The following is a 24,809-nucleotide window of genomic DNA, read 5'->3' as shown; positions in this document are numbered from 1 at the left end:
CACTCAATGTTGAATTTGTTGAAAGAAAAAGTAATCCCGTGTTCCTGTTTCTCTAAGAAAAGATACATCAATTTGAAGAAAATATATTGATTTGAACAGCTTTAGAAAAAACTGTTTTATTTGTAACCCGCTTCTTTTTATGACTCCACAGTCAGTGATTCCGTATCTGCTATTGTACAGCCAATGAAGGAAGACAGGGTGGTCATATGGCGAAAGACATACAGTTCCACAGCCCTGATGTGGTCTTATTTCTTTGTTCAGAAAAATTTTAAAACATTTGCAGAACAGCAAAGCTCTGATTCAAACTGGCAACTGACTACCAATCCCGGCATGGAACACAATTGCCTGTGTAAATTTCACATATCATAGGATTGAATTCGGGAAAGGGGTATATCTATGATCTAACTGCTGCTAGAATCAGAAGTGAGCACAGAAACTGAAATAAGTAAGATTAAAGATGATCACACACCAAACAAACAAAAAAAAGGCAAAAGCAAAAGTAGTTTTAAATATGTGCCATTATATGGAGAGGGTGATGAGAATTCTGTATAATATAAAGGTTTGGGTAACAAAACATAGGCATTATAATATTATCCTGGAACATATTAAAATTTTAAAAGTACTTTTCTAAAAATTATTGAAACATTTCTCTGATTCTTAACGGAATATAAACTCGTTTTTCTCATTAGACTTCCTATTGTCTCATAAAGGTAAAGTGAATGTTTTGTTTTCTAAATCTTTGATTTATACACTTTGTAAAATGGTCTGAATTAACACAAACACACACAGACATACACACACACAAGATTTTTTATATCTTTGGATAAATCTTACATTCTTGTTCTGTGTTTCTTACTGAATCATTTCTCCAATATTTGGACAGAAAGCAAATAATAAAATCTACTGTTAGGTTGAAGACCTTATCCACTGAAATATGTTTTACTGAAATATTTTTTGCAATGTTAATGGGCAGGTATGATGTGTACACGAGTAATTGGGGGAAGGGGGCCTCAGTATTTCAAATGCCTTTGACAGGTATACATGTATACCCCCACATATGCACATTAAATGCCAACACTTGATCAAAGAAACATTGCAATCTGAATTCTGAAAACAGGAAGTCCAGGGGGATATGATTAATTGGACAAAATTAAGAAAGAGAGAAAAAGAGATATAGCATAAGCCTGATTATAAAAATCCCAAGATACCAGAATGATTTTTAAATTAGGTCAAATAAATCACAAATTTTATACAGTAAAAAGCAAAATTAAGATGTTTGCTACTCCCAAGAGGTTAAAGAGCCTAGAAAGAAAAATATCTGCAAAAAGAATTTAGAAAAAATTATGGATAAAAAGTTACAATGAGTTTTAATTTGAAAACATTTTTTGTTTCAATTGTGGTTTACCAGAGAGCTTTATAAAACATATGAGTTACTTTACAGTGTTAGATATCTACACCAGGAATTATATGGTATTTATTGAATGAGTTTCTTTCTACAGGCTCAGAATTACCTATGAACATCAAATGTATTTGATAATTCAAAAATTACAAATTAATTAATTTGATTATTAATTTAATTACTATGATAATTGGCTGAATATTCTGAAAATACTTGTGTATATTTGATTGAGATGGGGGTAGACTTCAGATCATGGAAGACACATAGTGGTGAGAGGGTTGATGCTGGGGTGAGCCTACCTGTTGGAACCCTGGCTGTACAACTTAGATGCTGTGACTGATGTTGAGTTTAAGCAGTTCTTAATCTCCAAATTCAGTTTCCTAATCTCTAAATTTGAAGATAAGATTATTCCCCTTACATTTATTGTTTAGCATAATAATAATCTACGCTATTTTGTGCTCACTAATACTAGCACACAATAAAAGTTGACTCTTTTCGTGAAGCTATTTATACCCCACCCCCTTATTTTCTCTGTTGGTTAAATATCAACTCAAAGGGGAGAAAATCTTCTGTTTTCTCTAATTAGTTAGAGTCTAGTGAATAAAATAACACACAAATTCCTTCTTATGACAGTGTTGTGTTAACCTTTCTTCACCTACCTTCTACACTAAATATATACATAGAGCACTAAATAAACGTATTCTGTTCTAAATCACTATGCATATATAATTATTATGACAAAAAGTTTGGGAAGAATTGTGACCTAATATTCTAAAATGTAGCTGGATAGGTAAATTGTCTCAATTCTTCTATACACAATTTTCTTGCTGCCAGAATCCGCAGGGCTCTTGAAAGATAAACCAGAATTTTAATAGAAATCAGCTGGTGTAGTCAACATAGTTAGTTGGATTGGACCTCACTCTCAGCTGCTGTTGCCACTTTGAATGTTCTCCTGTTTTGACTCACTTCGATGTGTTCTTTCCAGCTTTTTACTTCAACTCCGCAGTCTATTCTCAAATTATGTTCCTCATCTGGTAAATACTTTCTAATGGCTTCCCAGACCACTTAAGATAAAGGCCTACGGGGAAGGCTCTTCATGACCTCCTTCCACCCACTCCTCCTTCACCTTTCAGATCTTATCTCCTGCCATTCTCCCTCGTGCTCCACCTATCCACACTCATGTCCTTGGTGAGCCCTCAATGTATTCCCAACACAGAGATTTTGAATTTGTTGCTCCATTAACTATGTTGTTTTTGACCCAGATCTAGAATACTGGGTTCATTCCAGTAGTAGAGATCTTTTTGTTGTATCATATCAAGTGTGGTGGAGAGGACAATGCTCTGCCTCCAAAGTTGTCCACATTCTATGCCCCAGAGCATGTCAGAACATGCGTCTATGTTGCCTTACATAACAAGAGACTTTGCAAAGTGATTAAAGATCTGGAGATGGGGAGAGTATCTCGAATCATCCAGGAGTGTCTGATATAATCACAAGTATCCTAGTAAGAGGAAGGAAAGAGGCTCAAAATTGGAGAAAAGGCAATGCAATGATGAAAGCAGAGGGAGAAGAGACAATGTCAAATGGAGCCATAAGCCAAGGAATAAGGACAGCTCTAGAAGCTGGAAAAGGCAATACAATAAATTGTCCCTCAGAGCCTCTGGAAAAAGCACAGCTGCCAACACCTATTTTAGAAGGTCTGATCTTCAGAACCATACTATGATGAATTTGTCTTGCTTTAAGCCTCTAAGTTTGTGGTAATTTGTTAAAGCAGCCAGAGGAAACTAATACATCGCGTTTTGCTTGATAGCCCCTTTGTGTAGGATTGAGTCATGTGATTAGTTCTGATTACTAGGCTGTGAGCAGAAGGGATATGTATGGCTTTGAGACTGAAGCATGTATCATAAAAACTGATGTGTGACTCTCTAGTCTCTCTCCCACAGTACAGAGACATCCAGAGCCATGTGCTCCTGTGCAGTACAAATAAGATGGAGCTGCCACCTGCCTTGGTGCGTCACTGACTATGGGGAGCAGAGCACCTCACCAACCCTTACTGAACGTGCAACAAATGCAAGAAATCATCTTTGGTTGAATTATCTCACTGATATTGCAGAGTTAATCTGTTACTAGAGCATAGACTGTCGCTGTGAATTATATGGTTTTCCTTAAGCTCCTTTGCCAAGTGTCACCTCAGAAAGAACTTCCCTGACCACATTTAATTTTTTTTGTTTTAAATCTAAAAGCAACATCTTTCTCTGGTAATAAATTTCCCTTGCCTTGGTTTATTTTATTTTTTTTTTTCCAGTGGCAATCTTCACCAAATGGTGCTCTACATTTTTTACTTATTTATTTTTTATCGTCTCTCCAACAAGAAAGCTCCAACACAGACGAGATTTTTATCTGCTTATCACTGCTTTTTCCCATCACCAGAATAATACCTAACAGGTGATAAGAGCTCAGTAAATGATCACAGAAAGAATAAATGGGCTTGTGAGGTGACTATCCATTCATTTTTGACCATTTTGTTGATGATTAGAGTTGTTTTAACTCATTTCCTGACTTTGACTTCTGCCCCAGGCTGAATAAGCCCACTGCTTTATTTCTGAGCCATTTCTTCAATTCTTCTCATCTACAAATTTTACTTTGCCAAGTGTGGTTAGAGTTCTTCCAATTCTTTTGTCTCCCCTGCACTTTGATAGAAACAAAAATATGAAGTACAGAACAAGGAATGAGAATATTTGGACCAAAAACAAACCACATGCTAAAACTTGGGGTACAGAAATAAATGTAGCCAATCTTGAAGGAGCTCTTAATCATGAGAGGGATGGTATGCAATCAGGACACAGTTACAACCAGTGACTACAAACATTCATTACCTGTTACCAAAATACTGAGTTTAGTAAGGCCCAGAATCTAAAGACAATTTTCTGGATGATGTTATGTTTAAATTGGGTAATTTGTCATTTATTCAGAAAATTTATTTATTGACTACTCACTACTTAACAGTCACTCTAATAAGTGCTGGAAATATAATAGGAAGCACAACTCACACGATGATTGCCCTCATACAGCCTAGTGACCTATGGGATTAGTAAAGACTTGGGAAGAAAGAAGAGCGACATTCTTTTCAGCAAAAATTGCAAGAGAAATTGCATGTTGGTGATAATAAATTGGAGATGATCTGAAATGTCTAAGTTACAGGTACATGTGGGAGAAGGAGCAGTATATAGAGAAAACCAGTGGAGGCCTTGTACTAACAATATGTCAAAGGCTTTAGAAGTTTTTCATGAAGAAAATTTGGGGTCACTAAAATGATTTAGAAGAATAGCATGATCATGTATACAATTTAGAAAAATTGTTCTGTAAAAAATGTAGTAGATAGATGGGAAGAGAACAAGACTATGAGTAGGTGTCCTATTAGAATTTCATTATAACAATCCTGGCCAGGTGTGGTAGTTCATGCCTGTAATCCCAGCAGTTAGGGAGGCCAAGGCAGGCAGATCATCTGAGGTCAGGAGTTCGACATCATCCTGGCCAACATGATGAAACCCCGTCTCTACTAAAAATACAAAAATTAGCTGGGTGTGGTGGCACATGCTTGTAGTCCTAGCTACTTGGGAGGCTGAGGCAGGACAATCTCTTGAACCCAGTAGGCAGAGGTTGCAGTGAGCAGAGATCACGCCATTGCACTCCAGTCTGGCAACAGAATGAGACTCCGTCTCAAAAAGTAAATAAATAAATACATAAATAAATAAATACAAAAATGATCTGGGTGTGGTGGTGGGTGCCTGTAATCCCAGCTACTCAGGAGGCTGAGGCAAGAGAATAGCTTGAACCTGGGAGGCGGAGGTTGCAGTAAGCCAAGATCCAGCACTCCAGCCTGGGTGACAAAAGCAAAACTCTGTCTCAAAAAAAAAAAAAAAAAGAATTTTTGATAACAATCCTAACAATAAATTATAAGTTTCTCTGAAGATAGGCATGGCTGTGAGTATAGAGATTAGCTGAATGATATAGTGAAAGTTAAGGTTTCAAACCTCAAGGGAAAAGATTGGTTTAGAAATAAAGTAAATCAAGATATTGGACACAGACCTTTTATTGTGAAATATCCTGATTGAGACCAGGCAGGTGGTAACCTTAATTTAATTGGTATTTTCTATGTGCTCTGGTAATGATTTTCTCCCTCCTGGATCTCAAGCCATATGCTATGTTTTAAGTGCTTTTTTTTGAGATCTTCTTAGATAATGCCTGTTAATTTCAGAAAGATATTTAGTTTATCACAAATCAAAACATTTCAGCCTAAATTGAACTTAAGAAAAAAAACTGTGACAATCATAATTTGAGGCAATGATGATGTCTGCTTTGATTTTATGTTTGGAACACAATTACTTCCAGTGATGGTGGAACTTACAAAGTTCTTAATCCACTATCATTGATTTTGCTCAGTGACAATTTTTTGTTTCAATCTATTGATCATAAAAAGTTGGAACTATATCCTGACAAGTTTTTGAAAATATGAATCTGTAATGAAACACACAATAATCACACCCAATTTTAAAAGGGTCCTAAGAGAGAATGAAAAGTAATCCTCTGATAACATATAATGCTGAGAATTTTGGCTTAAACCAAAAACTGTGTGACCTAAAGGAAGCACAGAGTAGTTTAGTAAGCTGTATAAAGGCTCTATAATTCTTGTAACATCTTTCTGAAGCTCTATAAAGAGTTTTGCCTATAAGCCAGGATGAGTTATTCTTTGGTCCTTTTCATCTTACCCATCCATGCTTTTCTTGGTCTTAGAAGAAAGAGAAGAAAATAAAAAGAGAACACGGGGAAAATTCCACCAAAGGAAAAACCAAAGGCTGTCTCTTTCTCTCATGTATAGACAGGAGCTCAGTCACTCCTAAGCCTGGTACTCTCCCAGTCAGGAGAAAGCCTCAATCCTATTAGACTACACCAACTATGAGGAGGAACCAACATTCAAAGGGGGTATTTGCAAAAGCAGAGCAAATATTCACAGAAACACTAAAACCTGTAAATGGATGCTGTTAATTCTTAATCATAACAAGAGCTTTGATTTAATGAGTGCTCATTTGTACTGAGCCTGAGCTAAGCTCTTTACATACATTTTCTCACTCAGTCTTAACAAAAGTCATATACACAGCTAAGTCTGTATTAACAAAGAGGAAAATGAAGTTCACACAACCTAAATCATGTTATTCGTTGAGAAAGTAGGAGAGCAAGATTTGAATGTATAGCTTTCTGATTTCTTCACTCATTTCCAAACCATTGTATTACGATACCCTGGCCTAGGTTTTAACCCCATAATGATCCAGGGTAGTAGCTCTCAATGATCCAGGGTATTAGCTCTTCTTTTGCTCACTATAAAGGACTTTGAGCTTTCCCAAGTGGATTGAGTATATCATTAAATTATTAATATCCCATGCAGTCAATCAGCTGGTTTTTCAGACTAGGATTCCAATAAGTAACAAAATTGAATTAAGTTTCCCAGAAGTTGGGATGAGTGTGAAGGTGGTAGATGTGATGAACATTCTTACCAAAGGCTAAGAAATGTAAAAAAGCAAGGAAGTGCATGTTTTTGACACTCAACCCTTTTTTAGGCCGTATCTGTGGTCATTGTGTTCCTACCAGCTCCTGGACGGGAGAGCAACAACCAGCACTACAGACAGATGCCTGAATATGTGCTGATGCATTTAAGGAGGAAGGAGCAGGATAGTTGGACCCATATTATATCTACATGGGCAGGGATCATGCCTTCTCTATGGCATGGTAGGAGAACCACTGCAAGTGACTAATTATTAAATATTCATAATCTAGAATACACTGGACTCTGATTGAAGCTGGACACCTGGAAAAAAAAATAAAATAGCAGGAAGTAAACGAGCCCATATGGTGGTGCCAAGTGGCATCTAGTCCACAGCAATAGCAAAAGATAAGCCAATCATAAAAAAGAAAAAACTCAAGAAGTACAACACCTAGTAGAAACAGCCAGGAATAAGGAGAAAAAATAATCAATGAATTTGATGTACCCTGGGAGTATTTTCTTCTTTTAATTGAAAATAACATGTCATCTTATGCCTTCATTAAAATTGATGACCATTCATGAAAGTGGTGACCCTCGACCACCACTGTCCCCACATCTGGAGCAATATTATCTTCACTAAAATTCATGCATATTGCAATCTAGATGGTACGGGTTCTTTTGTTTGTTTTCTTAGTTCCCTGCAATCTCTCCCTTCATTTTTATTTCCCTATCATTGACTGAATTCTTTGATATGTTGCTCTTCTGAGTCTCACCATTATAACACCCATCCTAAATACCTGCTTTTTGGAGGAGCCCCACGCTCTTTCCAATTATTGAAATATTTTCCTAGCAACTTCATTTAAAGAACCTCTTCAGATTTACTCATTAGGGTAATTGTGACTGCTGAGGTAAACCACTGTGTTATCTTAAGAGGTGAATGTAGTCACTGGTTGAATTGAATAATTCTAGTAAAATATATAACAAGAAGAAACAGCCTACTAAGACAAGTTCTATTTAATTTTGGCCAGAGTGAGTGCTGTGAGACTTCCAGAAGGAACTCTAACTGACATACACTGTAAAGAGATGCTGAGAAGTCAGATGTTATAACAGGAGTTTTCTTTGCATGAGCATTTAATGAGTCTTTTAGGAAAACTTTTGAAGAATCATATCAGGAATGTGGAGTGAGTCTCTCGACATTCTCTCCCAAATGAAACTTGGTGCACACATCTCTTTCCAGTATTCAGAAATGTGCCCTTAAAGTGCATCCTGAGGAAGAAAAGAGATGAAGGGTCTCGACACTGGACTGAGAGATGGATTGATAATAACAAGATAAAACACTGTTTCTTTGAAACAATTTATGGTAGCAATTTAGTGTTCTCTGCCATGTTGACATACATATTAAAAATGTAGCCAGTAAGGTAGACTCAAAAGTGAGAGACTAAACTTAATATATTATTTGTAACCTTGGAGCATCCATAAGAAAAGAGAGAAGGGCGTCTACAGCCATACCACCCTGAATGCGCCCTATCTCGTCTGATCTCGGAAGCTAAGCAGGGTCAGGCCTGGTTAGTACTTGGATGGGAGAAAAGAGAGAAGGGCTTTGTTGAATCCTAATGAAAGGACCCAAGAAACAGAGAACACTCTTGCACTTCTGTGAGCCTTGCTGCAGTTCTGATAGAGCTACTATTAAAATGAACAACTTTAGCAGAGGCAAAGGGAGTGATGGCAGCAAAGGTAAGCATACATATTAAAAATGTAACCAGCAAGGCTGATTCAAAAGTGAGGGACCAAGATTAATATATTATTTGCAACCCTGGAGCATCCATAAGAAAAGAGAAAGAGAAGGGCTTTGTTGAATCCTAATGAAAGGACTCAAGAAGAATACTCTTGCACTTTTGTGAGCCTTGCTGCAGCTGTGATGGAGCTGGTATTAAAATGGACAACATAAGCAGAGACATAAGGAGTGATGGCAGCAAAGGTAAGCATAAAGACAAGGTGTGACTCTGGCAAGGTTTAAACCAGGAAGCAGGAATAACATTAGCAGTGACTTGGTAGGGAGACATTATAAGGCACGAGCAGTGACAACTAGTGAAACTGGTTCTGCAACAGAATCATACAAGTTGAGAAAAACAAGCCTGTACCAAGTGGATAGCACCAGCAAGGATGAGAGGTGAGCTCCATTACAAACAGGAGATAGAACTGAAACGGAAGAGTCATGGTTGCAGTGATACCATGGAGAGCTGACAGAGAGGCAAAGCACATTCATTCTCCATAACTATTTCATCTAAATTTCCTTTTTGTTCCCCTGACTGATATGGACAGTGGAAACAAGAGTTAGACTAATAAGGACAGCAGAAAACATAACCTCAGTATTTATCTTTGGTATTTAGTCAGAGCACTCCAGGTTGCCCCTGCAAAAGAACCTGAAGAATTCTTTTTTTTTTTTTTTTTTTGCAGTTGAACTTTAGCAACAGAATTGTACAAAGTAGATTCATGGATGTTTCGTTAACTGTAGAGCATTGGGCAACAGTAATTAAACATTCTGATTTTATTTTGCTAGAATATAAAAATTAGTGATATTCATACATAACTTGCAGGGGCATTCTGGGGATTAGATATGTGTGGTAATATTTAGCATAATATTTTATTCATCATAAATATTTTAAAAATTATAGTTTCTCCTCTTCCTCCCCCTTCCCTACTTTAAAATAAAGACTAGATGATGAGATTTTGGTTAACAGGGAGTACATGATAGAAAGAATATTTGACTTGGTGATTTGGTTTCTGGAACTGATTCTGTTATTAAACAAATCAAGAATAATTACAGATTATTCTTAGTCTACAATTAAATTTAGTACTGCTATATAAGAGACTATGAGTAACGTAACCTCTCCAGATTTCAGTAAGTCAACCAGATGAATTCTGAGGTCTTTGTTGGCACTAACACTGGGACTCTCTGTCATAGAGTAATTGTACAACAGGATTGATGTACCACCTCTGCCTATGAGAGTGGTTCAGTATGTTGTTAAGTTAGAGATGAAGAAAAGATAAATTCCTTCACCAAGCTAAAATTGCCACATATTTTACAGACATATTTAAAATATATATAAATGCAAGTATCCTGCCAGTAGTGTTAAATTCACCATCAGGTATTAGCAGTTTCAAGGTTCTATAGAGAAAATTGGTTGGCCGGTTGGAGTCAGTCATTGTCTTGAATAAGAATGGCACATACGTATAGTCAATGGGACAAAAACCACTGTGCGAGAAATACCTGGCCTTATGCTTCAGAGTTTTAACGGATTGTTGGCTGGAGTGAGAAGAAATTTATTCCTTTTACATCTCGCTGTGAAATTAGTCTAAAGCATTGTGGGAACTCACTCATTCCTTTACAACATCTGGAAAGAAGACTGAATATTGATGATCTCTTTGGACTGCTATGTTTTGTCGAGGGTGACGGTTTCTATATTCAAGGGAAAGGTTATTTGAGAATAATGAAGACATTTCACATAGCAAACCCCAATACACATTCAGATAAAAAGCTGAATTCTTGTCCTCAGGTTGTGCAATTTAATACAAAAGATAGAAGTAAAAACGTAGAGATCACTGCTGTTCTGCTGCCAATTCATCACAGAAAATATCTCTCAAGGCTGCTGGATGGTGTCATCTGCAGCACTGTCATTTGCTTAGGGAGGGGCACACAGGTTAAAGCTGACAGAAAGGTAGGCTGAGCTTTCCTATGCTGTCCTTTTTATGCCATTTTAATTCCATTGCCTGGAGTTGTGTCAACTTTTTCTTAACACTACATATTCATTTCTTACAATACATGGTTATAACAACAGTGAATACGCAGCCTCTATACTGCCATTTTCCCACTAATTAATCAGTTATGATTGACATTCAAGATACATACAAATGTAACTTTAGGACTGTTCCAAATACAAAACTGTCAGCACTCATTATTGATCTGTTGCAATTTGTGTTCAATTATGAATTCATTTAAATCTATAGCTTTATGTATTACTAAATTACTGATAAGGCCTGTGATATGGTTTAGCTCTGTGTCTCCACCCAAATCTCATCTTGAATTATAATCCCTGTGTCGAGGGAGGGACCTGTAATCCCAACATGTCAAGGGAGGGAGGTGATTGGGTCATGGGGACGGTTTTCCCCATACTGTTCTGGTGATAGTGAGTGAGTTCTCACAAGAACTGATGGTTTTATAAGTGTCTGGAAGTTCCTCCTTGTGAAAAAAGATGCCTGCTTCCCTTTTCCCCATGATCGTAAGTTTCCTGAGGCATCCCCAACCATGCAGAACTGTGAGTCAATTAAACCTCTTTCCTTTATAAATTACCCAGTCTCAGGTAGTATCTATAGCAGTGTGAGAATGGACTAATACAACTTGACTACTCTGACAAAATAGGGTCTCTTCTCTCTCTGGGCCCGATACGACCAAATATCTGAACATTATTTTCCTTTTGCTTTCATTTTCCTATAAAAGTTATGATCTCTTCAATATTGTTTTTGCTGATGATTTTCATGAACTACATTTTTACAATATTTTTCAAAATCTATCAAGACATGTAATCAAGCCCTTTAACATAAGAGGCTTAATGAACGTAAAGTTACTATTAGAAAGAAGATGTTCATGAATTCCAAGAATACAAACTTCCAGAGGTAAAATGTCACTCATTAGAATCACTGTAGAGAAGTTATTTTTGCTCTTGATTTTTGCAGATGCACTACATGGAAGCCTTAGAGTAGAGATCATGGGGCAATTGCCTACCCTGTCTCATATAAGTTTGGTCTTTATTAAAATTACACAATGTATATCAAGAAAAAGTAGAATTATATCATCTAATATACTACACAATATCCCATTGAACTGAGTAGCAGTGATATTTATTAATTTATTTAACAAAGATGCATTTAGTACCAACTATGAACATGATTCTGCTTGTGCGTAGCCTGTTGCCTTGTTATACTATAAAATTTCTAAAATAATAACCTGAGATCTGCTTTTAGGATCCCAGCTGCATCCTCATAAACTGATACAAGAAATTGAGTAAAACCGGTCAAGTGACCCAACTTTGCTTCACTTGAGAGGTGGTAGGGATTATATAAAACAGACATCATCAATTCTAAATCAGCCAGCCACATCACCATGTAATTAGCTTTCAGATTTGTAAAATTAAACATCTCAAGTGCTCCAGACCTTACTGAGTGACCAGAGTCAAAGCATTGTGATAAGGAGGTCAATGAAGGCCACCAAGTTGAGTATCTCCATTCAGACAAAAGAAAATGTCTATGAATACTGTATGTATTTCCAGTTGGTCACTCCAATCTCTACCTCTATCCCACCCTAAACCCTCTTTATCACTCCTATTAAAGCAAGAGGGGGCACTAATCTTAAACAGACAGTGTGTGCTCCCAGTGCATTCTCTCCTTCATCACTCATCACGTCTCTGCCCTTATTCAGGCCATAAATGCACTTTCTGACCCTAAAAGGTTCACAACCCCCCCAAAATATTTAAATTGAAAACATCACAATATTTAGGCTTCTATGTCCTGGAAATTCCTTTTCCCTCATTTTATTTAACTTCTCTTTACATGATACCTTCCCCTAGAAAGTAGTTTTGCATTCCAACAATGACCTTACAAGGCCCAATGGGAGGTGATATTTTTCAGGCTAAGTAGCACCATCTGGTTAACTCAAGGAAGGTGGTCACTTAGTCTGCCTTTTTACACAGCCCACTCTGGCAGAGACAGAAGTGACCCTGGGTTACAGGTAATCTCTCTTGCTCTGCTCTGATTGTTTCTGAATGTGCAGGTGCTGAAAAATCAATAAACAAATTATGTGTGTATGTATATATGTGCTCATCATTTATATATACATATATGCATTTACTTTTTAATAAAAGGAGGGTTGGAGGATGAGATTACTATATAATCAAAGTCTGTGGAACCACAATATTCATCGAAAACACAATAGTAAGTAGAAGCAATTCTTCTTTTTTTTTTTTTTTTTTGAGACGGAGTCTCGCTCTGTCACCCAGGCTGGAGTGCAGTGGTGCCATCTCGGCTCACTGCAAGCTCCGCCTCCCGGGTTCACGCCATTCTCCTGCCTCAGCCTCCCGAGTAGCTGGGACTATAGGCGCCTGCCACCACGCCCGGCTAATTTTTTGTATTTTTAGTAGAGACGGGGTTTCACCGTGTTAGCCAGGATGGTCTCGATCTCCTGACCTCGTGATCCACCCGTTTCAGCCTCCCAAAGTGCTGGGATTACAGGCATGAGCCACTGCGCCCGGCAGTAAGTAGAAGTAATTCTATTGTATCTGATACAACAGAGTCAAAAGTCTTTTTTAAATTTGTTGCTTTGAAAATTGTGACTTTTTCTATTTTGAAATGGAAATTTCATCACCTTGCTGTCAGCCATTAAGACACTAAGAAATATACAGGGAAGTGGGAGACAGAAAGAAGAAATAGAAGTTATACCTAGTTGCTTTAAACAGAGTGTGAAAATAAAAATTCATTAACATATGCTTTGACCAAAGTGAAGCAAAATAGCTGGATTTTCTGAGTCATAAACCAGAATACCAAAAATCATAGTGAGGCCAGTCTATGGGAAATAATTAAAATACAAGCAAATGATTATTTTGTGTAAGGTGCTCTGCTAAACACATAAAATGCATGATAGATTTAATCTTCACAACAATTCTGCCAGGCAAGTGTTTTCATATCTCTACTTTAGAAATAAGCAAAAGATTAATGAAGTTAGAAATCTGCCCCAAGTCACACAACTAGAAATGATAGAGTGAATTTAGAATGTAGATCTCTCCAATTCTAAAGCCCAGCACCTAAAACAGTGCAAGATATAAAGCAAGTTCTTAATAAATATTATCAGTGTTATTTAAATACTACATGGTACTGTTTTCTGCCTGGCTATAGCAGGCCATGCACATAGGTAGACCTGACTGCCACACAGCTATTGTAATTTGTGGGTTCTGCAGGCTCCATTCAAATGAATAATATACTCATTCTCAGATAAATTTTATACCCCACTCCTAGCTTATATCCCTTTAACTCAATTACTTTATTTACAGAAAAGTCCAAATCATCCTGGGGAGCATAACCCTTAAAGAAGAAGCTTTATTGAGACTATATTGAAATTAGGTGGAAGAGGAAGCAGCATAAACATTATAACAAGGTGCAGAACTTACTTTGTAGATAAATTCCAATGCTATCCCCAACCCCCACACCCACTGAGGACCAATAGTAATGACTTCAGAGTGACTTTCCCTATTTAAGAGACTAGGACAGGCTTCATAAAAATAACAGTGTTTTCGGGACTCCCATACACCTTGTTTATTCAGAAGTAAGATTACAGACAAAATGCAGTTGGTAGTTGACATAAAAGAGGCTAGGGAACTTAGGGACTGGGCAGTTGATTGAGTAGGAAAGGAAGTTATTTTCCTTCTCTCCAACTTGGGAGGTTAGCTTCTATGTAGCTAGGTAATTGTCCAGGACTAATCTAGATAAAATAATAAATGGGGCTATGACTCACATGCTTTTCTTTGCCACATAATGAAATGTTTTAATGCAATATGGCAAAAATGAACATCAACTTTAAAAGGTATAGAAAAAAAAGAGTTTATGGAGTATTGGGGTAGCTGCCTATCAGTATTACCTATAGATGCAAACTTCCTGGCTTCCTTTTCCTATAACCCCTTAGCTAAGATGATTTTGATTCTAAATTCAAGTGTGAACCTTACATCTGCATTTGCAGTTGTTAGTAATTTCCAAATTAAATAATTTGAGTCAAAGACAAATGAGAGGAGCTGTACAAATTGTCTATCAAGCTATCATTTTACATGAGAAATTCTACAATCCACTAATGTGTTGTTCTTTTCTTATTTTTCAATTCTCCGTGGTATTAAATTAAATAATACATACTCATAAAAATGCAAACAGTTTTTAACTATGAAGTGTGAAAATTCATTTAGTTCCACCCTAATACCTTTTATAATTTTCAGAGTTTTAGCCCTCAATATACTTTACAAACGCACGCAGATTATGTATGTATTTTCTGTAAAAACAGGAGTATACTGTCCATATTATTTCATAAGCTGCTTTAAGTTTTTCTTACTTTTTAATTGCAGAAAAATACATAAAACATAAACCTTACCATCTTAATCATTTTAAATGTGAAGTTCAGTAATGTTAAGTACATTGACATTGTTGGGCATCCACCTTCCAAAACTCTTTTCAACTTATGAAACTGAAACTCTATACCCATTAAAAAACAGCTTCTCATTCCCCTCTCTCCTGCCCTGGCTTCTAGCAACCATCATCCTACTTTCTCTATGAATTTGATTACTCTAAGTACCTCACACAGTACTTGATTTTTTTGTGTGGCTGGCATATTTCACTTGGCATAATATCATCAGGGTTCATCCATGTTGCAGAATTTGTCAAAATTTTGCTCCTTTTTTAAAATTGAGTAATGTCCCATTGTGTGTGTATATCCCATTTTGTTTATCCATTCATGTATCAGTGAACAGTTGGGTTACTTCCATGTTTTGGCTGTTGTTCTATAATACTTCTATGAACATGGATATATGACTATCTCTTTGAGACCCAGCTTTTCATTTCTTTAAAAATAAGAAGGAAATATACCCCAATCCAGAAGTGGGATTGCTGGGTTATATGCTAATTCAATTTACTGTTTTGTGAGGAACCACCATACTGTTTCTATAGCAGCTGTATCTATTTTACATTTCCATCAGCAATGTACAAGGGTTCCAATTTTTCCACATTAAGGCCAACACTTCATTGGGTTTTTTTTCCATTTTACTTGAAGAACTTTTTTTATTATTATACTTAAGTTCTGGGGTACATTTGCAGAACATGCAGGTTTGTTACATAGGTATACACGTGCCATGGAGGTTTGCTGCACCCATCCAGTCCTCAGTAGGTGATGTTCCCCTCCCTGTGTCCATGTGTTCTCATTGTTCAACTCCCACTTATGAGTGAGAACACGCAGTGTATGGCTTTCTGTTCTTCTGTTAGTTTGCTGAGAATGATGGTTTCTAGCTTCATCCATGTCCCTGCAAAGGACATGAACTCATCCTTTTTATGGCTGCATAGTATTCCATGGTGTATATGTGTCACATTTTCTTTATCCAGTCTATCACTGATGGGCATTTGGGTTGGTTCCAAGTCTTTGCTATTGTGAATAGTGCTGCAATAAATATACATGTTCATGTGTCTTTACAGTAGAATGATTTATAATTCTTTGGGTATATACCCATTAATGGGATTGCTGGGTCAAATGGTATTTCTGGTTCTAGATCTTTGAGGAATTGCCACACTGTCTTCCACAATGGTTGAACTAATTTGCACCCCCACCAACAGTGTAAAAGCATTCCTATTTCTCCACATCCTCTCCAGCATCTGTTGTTTCCTGACTTTTTAAGGATCGCCATTCTAACTGGCATAAGATGGTTTTTCACTGTGGTTTTGATTTGCATTTATCTAATGACCAGTGATGATGAGATTTTTTTCATGTTTGTTGGCTGCATAAATGTCTTCTTTTGAAAAGTGCCTGTTCATATCCTTCGCTCACTTTTTGATGGGGTTGTTTTTTTCTTGTAAATTTGTTTGAGTTTTTTGTAGATTCTGGATATTAGCCCTTTGTCAGATGGATAGATTGCAAAAATTTTCTCTCAATTTGTAGGTTGCCTGTTTACTCTGATGATAGTTTCTTTTGCTGTGCAGAAGCTCTTTAGTTTAATTAGATCCCATTTGTCAATTTTGGCTTTTGTTGCCATTGCTTTTGGTGTTTTAGTTATGAAGTCTTTGCCCACGCCTATGTCCTGAGTAGTATTGCCTAGGTTTTCTTCTAGGGTTTTTATGGTTTCAGGTCTTAACGTTTAAGTCTTTAATCCATCTTGAGTTAATTTTTGAATAAGGTGTAAGGAAGGGGTCTAGTTTCAGTTTTCTGCATATGGCTAGTCGGTTTTCCCAACACCATTTATTAAATAGGAAATCTTTCCCCATTGCTTGTTTTTGTCAGGTTTGTCAAAGATCAGATGGTTGTAGATGTGTGGTGTTATTTCTGAGGCCTCTGTTCTGTTCCATTGGTCTATATATCTGTTTTGGTACCAATAACATGCTGTTTTGGTTACTGTAGCCTTGTAGTATAGTTTGAAGTAAGGTAGCACGATGCCGCCAGCGTTTTTCTTTTTGCTTAGGATTGTCTTGGCTATGCAGGCTCTTTTTTTGGTTCCATATGAACCTTAAAGTAGTTTTTTCCAATTCTGTGAAGAAAGTCATTGGTAGCTTGATGGGGATGGCATTGAATCTATAAATTACTTTGGGTGGTATGCCCATTTTCACAATATTGATTCTTCCTATCCATAAGCATGGAATGCTTTTCCATTTATTTGTGTCTTCTCTTATTTCCTTGAGCAGTAGTTTGTCGTTCTCCTTGAAGAGGTCCTTCACATCCCTTATAAGTTGGATTCCTAGGTATTTTATTCTCTTTGTAGCAATTGTGAATGTGAGTTCACTCATGATTTGGCTCTCTGTCTGTTATTGGTGTATAGGAATGCTGTGACTTTTGCACTGTGACATATTATAGTATGTCATTTTGGTTTTGTTTTGCATTCCCTAAAGATCAATGATATTGAGCACTTTCTCAGGTGCTTATTGGTCATTTGCATATCTCCTTTGGAGAAATGTCTATTCAATCTCATTTTTGAATTGAGTTTTTATTGTTGTTGAGTTTTAGGAATGCTCTCTACATCCTGGATGTTTCTCTTACCAGATACATAATTTGTAAATGTTTTCTTTCATTCTGTATGTTGCTTTTTTTATTTCATCGACAGTTTCCTTTCATGCACAAAAGGTTTTGTTTTGTTTTGTTTTGTTTATTTTTTTGAGGTGATATCCCATTCTGTCACTCAGGCTGGAGTGCAGTGGCCCAATCTTGGCCCACTGCAACCTCCGCCACCCCAGTTCAAGTGATACTGGTGCCTCAGCCTCCTTAGTAGCTATAATTACAGGCTCTTACCACCATGCCAGGCTAATTTTTGTATTTTTTGTAAAAATGGGGTTTCACCATATTGGCCAGACTGGTCTCAAACTCCTGGCCTCAAGTGATCCCCCCACCTCTCCCTCCCAAAGTGCTGCTATTACAGGCGTGAGACACCTCACCTGGCCAAAAGTTTTTAATTTTGATGAAGTTCAGTCTGTCTATTTTTATTTAGTTGCCTGTACCTTTGGTATCACATAAGATAATCCACTTTAATCTACTTTTCAATATTAGATATAATTTCTGGTCACTACATATAGATAGGTATCACTGTTTTTAATTGCTATGTGGGGTTCAACAATATGCATGTATGATAACTATGTATTCCTTTATCAATGAACATTTGTGTTATTTCTAAAATTTTATTATTATAAAATCTGCTGTAATAAATATCATTGTCATATATTTTTTCATATGTGTAAGTTTTTCTATATACTGTTATTAGAAAGAGTATCAATACTTTAAAGGGAAGGTACACTTTGTTATTTGGATATATCCTACTAAATTGCCCTTAAGATTATACTATTTATAATGTAACATTTCCTGCATCCCCCTGACTACAATAATTACTATCTCTCATTCTAAATTTTTAATGAAATGGGTCAGAAATGACATATTATTATTGCCTTAATTTGAATTATCATGTATTTTAATGTGTTAATACAATTTTATTGCTATTACTTCAAGGTATTATTCATTTGCTTTTAGCCCATTTGTTGTTTTTATTATGTTTTACCTTAAAAATTTGTAGATTCTTCTTTGTTATAGATATTTCTTTTGTATTTTTTTAAATTTTCTTCAAATTATGGTGCTATTGTTTAAACTTTTAATGAAAAAAATGTTATGTTTCTTAACCTTGTTTTGCCATAGTATTTGTTAATGCTTTTATACTCAGACAAGTAAATATTTTATTTTGTTTCGGAGTATTGTTTATGACTTTGGAAAACTTTTCATATCTCCAAGTTTATAAAAATATTTTCTTACATTTTTATTCTACCATATGCTAATGATCACACCTACCAAGCCTAGTAAAATGTAAGAAGCAATACATGAGAATGTGAATACCAGGAGGCAGAGATCACGGGGGTCTATTTGAAAGGCTGGTTACCACAGCCTATAAACAAAGTCTTGGGCCATATGATAACTTTGCTAGTAATGTAGGCATTTAATGTTATATCCCCATGGACATCCTGAAAGCAGTAATTTTCTAGAAAACCAATTATTTAAGCAGGTATTATCCACTAGTTTTGTAAACACATACAGATATACAAACATAACATATATTTGATTTGATAGAAAACAAATTTTTTTGAGCTTAAGAAGCCACTGATTTTAAATTACACCACTATAATAAAGAAAAACAAAAGGGAAAGAGAAAGAAAAAAGAAAAGTTACAAATTATAGAGAAAAGAAACAAAAAGTTACAAATTATAATTTAAAGACACATCAAATTTAAGGTCGGATGTTTAATCAACATCTTAATGCTTTATTTTAAAATGTCCACATTGAGATTTATGAGATATAATAGGTTATCTGTTAAAAAACTAGTTTCATCCACAGAACTTTCAATCACTCTAAAATATGCATAATTACCTTAAAGTAAATTGATTAAATTCTCCAGTGGAAAAAAAATAGAGTGACTGAATGGATTTTTAAAAATCCAACTAAATTCTGCCTTTAAGGGACTCACTTCCCCTTTGAGAACACACGTAGACTAAAAATAAAGGGATAAAAAAAAGATATTACATGTAAATGGAAACCAAAAGAGAATATAAGTAGCTATACTTATTGTTGTAGTACATTTTGGCTGGTATAATAAAATACCATAAGTAGGGAAGCTTTTAAGTAACAGAAACTAATTTCTCACAGTTCTGTAGGCTAGGAAGTCCAAGATCAAAACACTAGCAGATTTAGTGTCCGGTGAGGGACCATTTTCTGTTTCATGAATAATATCTTCTAGTTGTGTCCTCACAACCAGAAATCATTTTCCTCACAACAGAAACTATTTTCTGTCTCATGAATGATACCTTCTAGTTGCGTCCTCATAAAGGGGTGAACAAGCTCTTTGGGGTCTATTTAATAAGGGCAATAATTATATTCATGAGAGATTTGTTCCCATGACCTAATCACTTTCAAGTGGCCCAACATCCTAATACCATCATCTTGGGGGTAGAATTTCAACACATGAATTTTGGGGGGAACATCAGCATTTAAATCATAGCCTTTGTATTAGACAAAATAGACTCTAAGTCAAAAACTGTAAAAAGAGACAAAGAAGGTCATTATATAATAATAAATGAGTCAGCTCATTAAAAGAATACAACAATTGTTAACTATATATGCACCCAACACTGGAGCACCTATAAATGAGAAGTAAATATTAAAAGTTCTGAAGGCAGAAATAGAGAATGATACAATAGTAGTAAGGGACTTCTATATGCCACATTCAACAATTTGTAGATTATCAAGATGTAAATCAATAAGAAAACTTTGGACATGGGTTTCACTTTAGACCAAATGGACCTAACAGACAAATACAAAGAATTCCATCCAACAGCACCAGAATACACATTCTTCTCAAGCACACATGGAACATTCTCCAGGATAGATCATGTGTTAGCCTACAAAACAAGTTTTAACAAATTTAAGAAGATTAAGATCATAGTAAGTTTATTTTCTGACTATAAGTTTATGAAACCAAACCAATAACAGAAGGAAGATGAGTATGTTCGCAAATAAGTGAACATTTAATACCATACTCCTAAACAACCAATGGGTCGATGAAGATATCAAAAAGGAAATGGAAAAATAATTTGAAACAAAAGAGGAAATATAAGGTACCAACATTTATGGGATGCAGCAAAAGTAATTCTAAAGGGGATGCTTCGAGCCATAAAGGCCTATATAAAGAAAATTAAAAGTCTCAAAAAAAAACCCTAACTTTACATGTTAAGGACCCACAAAAATAAAATAAGCCCAAAGTTAGTAGAAGGAAGAAAATAACAAATACCAGAGCAGAAATAAAATAAGATTTTTTTTTAAATAGAAAAAAATAAACTGAGTTGGATTTTTGAAAAAATAAAATCAACAAACAGGTAGACTAAGAAAAAAGGAGAGAAAGGAGAGAAAGAGGGGACATTACAATTGATATCACAGAATCTAACTGATATGCAAAGAATCTAATATGGTTTGGCTCCGTATCACCACCCAAATCTCATCTTGTAACTCCCACAATTCCCATGTGTTGTGGGAGGAACCTGATAGGAGTTGATTGAATCATGGGGGTAGGTCTTTTCTATGCTGTTCTCGTGATAGCGAGTCAGTCTCCTGAGATCTGATAGTTTTAAAACAGGAGTATCCCCGCACAAACTCTATTCTCTTGTCTGCCATCATGTGAGACATGCCTTTCACCTTCCACCATGATTGTGAGGCCTCCTAGCCACATGGAACTGCAAGTCCAATAAACCTCTTTATTTTGTAAATTGCCCAGTCTCTGGTATGTCTTTATCAGCAGCATGAAAACAGACTAATACAGAATCTTAAGACACTACTATGAACAACTGTACACCAAAAATTGGATATCCTAGATGAAATGGGTAAATTACTAAAAAAAAAAAAAAAAAAAAAAAAAAAAAAAAAAAAACCATGACGTGTGTTTACCTATGTAACAAAACTTTACATGTACCCCAAAACCTAAAATACAAGTATAAAAAATTAAAAAAAATTAGTAATCAAAAACCTCCCTCAAAGAAAAGACCAGGAACAAATGGCTTCATTGGTAAATTGAACATCCTAACATTTAAGGAAGAATAAAGGCCAATATTTCTCAAACTCTTTCAAAAAATTAAAAAGGTGAGAATACTTCCAAACTCACTCTTCGGGCCAGCATTACCCAGACACTAAAGCAAGACACAGATACTACAAGAAAAGGAAATTATATGCCAATATGTGATGAATGTAGATGCAAAATTCCTCAATAAAATACTAGCAAACTGAATTCACCATCACATTAAAAGCATCATACACCAGGATCAAATTCCTGGAATACAGGACTGTTTCAACATATGCAAATCTCAAATATATACAGAACACTAAAATAATAAATAATAAAATGATCACAATAGATGCAGAAAAAGCATTTGACAAAATTTGCTATCCTTTATGATAAAAATTGAATAAATAAAATAGAGAAGGGATGTATCTCAACACAATAAAGGCCACATATCACACGCCCACAATTAACATCATACTCAATTATAAAGAGATGAAAATTTTTTAAGATTAGGAACAAAATAAAGAGGCCCACTCTCACCACTCTTATTCAACATAGTACTTGAGGTCCTAATCAAAGCAATTCGTGATAGCAGCAGGAGGCAGACCAATTCTTAGGAGGAATGGTTGGGTCCCCTGTGAAACCCGACCTTCAAGCCAAAGACAGCCTGGAGCCTAAAAACCAGGCTACCAGTTCCAAGTAGGATTGGCAACCTGGAGTAAAAACTTTCTTGATGCCTTTCAGCCAATCAAATGGTGTTTTTCCAGGCCTGCCCACGGACCAACCGGCATATACTTCCTCCATTTGTGAGCCCATGAAAACTCCAGGCTCAGCCACACGTCAGGATTACCCACCTGCGGGTAGGGGCAACTCACTCCAGTCTCCTCTCTGCTGAGAACTTCTCCACTTTGCTCACCCTCCAGCTGTCTGTGTAACCCCTTTCTTCTGGATGTCACACAAGAAGTCAGGACCTGCTGAATGGCGGGCGTGAGAAGAGCTGTAATATTTTCCTGGCTGCCTCACCCAGCTGCGGACAGGAGCGAAACGGGCTGTAACACGTTCCTGGCCAGCTCCCCGAGCTGCGGGAGGTGACGTGCTCCTGTTCGTTGGACTGAGGGAGGGAAGAGCCGCGACCCTTCTGGAAGGCAAGACCCTGGGACTTCCTGGGTCAGAGCTGTAACACTATAGACCTTCCATCGTCTCCTGGTGTCCGGCAGCTGCCCCATGTGACCGGAAGTGGCGGCAGGGCTGAGCCAGCCCGGAAGCAGCCCTCCAGAGCGAGGTGGCGGCAGTAAACTAGCTGAAACATGTAATCCCCCACCCATGGCTCGCTGAGCTGTGCGCGGCAGGCGTGAGAGAACTCTAGCACATCCCCCCACCACTTGGGGCTCCATTGTTGCTGGTGTCTCGAGTTTTGGGGCGTCACCGTGTTCCCCTCGTCCCGATGTCGGCGTCTGCATCAAAAGCTGCTTGTGGTATGCCTAGTCCAGCGGCAGCCTCAAACAGAGCCAGTGCCTACGTCAGTGCCTGGAGCTTCCTGCCCTGCCACAGCAGCCAGTGTGTTTAGCTGTGCACAGTGGCCTGACCCTGCGCTCGCTCACTCACACACCGCTCGCTGCTCTGCACCTGGCTCGCCCTTAGGGAGCGTATGATCCAGGCCAGTAGCATGAGCATAGCCTGCTGGGCCGAGCATAGCCTGCTGAGCCAAGTGAGCAGAACGAGCCCAGTGGGCACAAGCAAACTCAAGTAGAGGCACTGCCGGCCACAGTTGTTTCAGGCTGGCGAAGCGACACCCAAAGGATCCTGTGATATTAGACAAGCAAAGTAAATAAAAAGCAGCTAAGTAGAAAAAGAAAAGTTAAATTGTCTCTGCGGGTGACATGATCTTTTACATCAAAAACTCTCAATATTCCACAAAAAAACCTGTTAGCACTAGTAAACTAATTCAGTAAAGTTGCAGGATACAAAATGAACATACAAAAATCAGTTGTGTTTTGAGGCACTAACAAGCTATCTAAAAATCTGTCCAATTTACAATAACATCAAAAAGGATAAAATATTAAAGAAAAAAATCAAGGAGGGTAGAAGATTTGAAAACTGAAAACTATAAAGCATTCATGAAAGAAATTGAAGAAGATATGAATAAATAGAAATATATTCTGTGTCAATAAATAGAAAATATCACAAATTTAAAATGTTCACGCTACATAAAGTGATCTACAGATTCAATTCAATCCCTATCAAAATTTCAATGATATTTTCATAGAAATAAAAGAAAAATTCTAAAATGTGTATGGCTCCACAAAAGACCTCAAATAGCTAAAGCAATTTTGAGAAAAAAAGATCAAAACTGGAGGCATCACACCTCTTCATTTAAAATTATATTACAAGCATAGTAATCAAAACAGTTTGGTTCTGGCATAAAAATATACTTATAGACCAATGGAACAGAGCCTAGAAATACATTCATGAATACATAGTCAACTCATCTTCAACAAAGTCACCAAGGATACACAATGAAGAAAGGATACTCTTTTCGACAAACAGTATTTACAAATACAGATGTCCACACACACCAAAAAAATGAAACTGGATCTTTATTTTACATCATACACAAAAGTTAACTCACAATGGGTTAAAGATGTAAGTGTATTACCTAAAACTCTAAAACTCCTTGAAGAAAACATATAGAAGAAGCCCCAGGACATTGGTCTTGATGGTAATTTTCTGGATATGACACCAAAAGCACAGTCACCAAAAGCAAAAATAAATAAAGAAGTAGGATTACATAAAATTTTCTGAATAGCAATAAAATAAAATTAAAATTAAGAAAGGCAACCCAATAAATAGATGAAAATATTTGCAAAGCATTCATCTGATAAGAAATTAATATCCAAAACATGTAGGAAACTCATACGACTCAGTAGCAAAAAACAAAACAAAACAAAAAACTACAAATGACAGAACAGCATGCACAAAGAAAGAGAGGTGTGATTAAGAATCTCGTGTT

The 24,809-nt window shown here is 36.6% G+C and overlaps 1 long non-coding RNA gene and 1 pseudogene across 25 annotated transcripts in view; one reads left to right on the top strand and one right to left on the bottom strand.

Annotated features, from left to right (window-relative positions):
• The window catches only part of LOC102724542 (uncharacterized), a 368,996-nt gene extending 345,976 nt beyond the window's left edge, over window positions 1–23,020 (bottom strand). For all 25 annotated transcript variants that reach the window (NR_187701.1, NR_187699.1, NR_187692.1 and 22 more), the window contains exon 1: window positions 22,654–23,020. This is a non-coding gene — a long non-coding RNA (uncharacterized LOC102724542). The remainder of the gene's footprint in view (window positions 1–22,653) is intronic.
• RNA5SP99 (RNA, 5S ribosomal pseudogene 99) lies at window positions 8,431–8,520 on the top strand (annotated as a pseudogene).
• Window positions 23,021–24,809: the final 1,789 nt, after the last annotated feature.

This window comes from Homo sapiens, chromosome 2 (genome assembly GCF_000001405.40).
Source record: "Homo sapiens chromosome 2, GRCh38.p14 Primary Assembly".
NCBI classification, from domain to species: Eukaryota; Metazoa; Chordata; class Mammalia; order Primates; family Hominidae; genus Homo; species Homo sapiens.
This window is presented reverse-complemented; position numbering and strand designations above follow the sequence as displayed.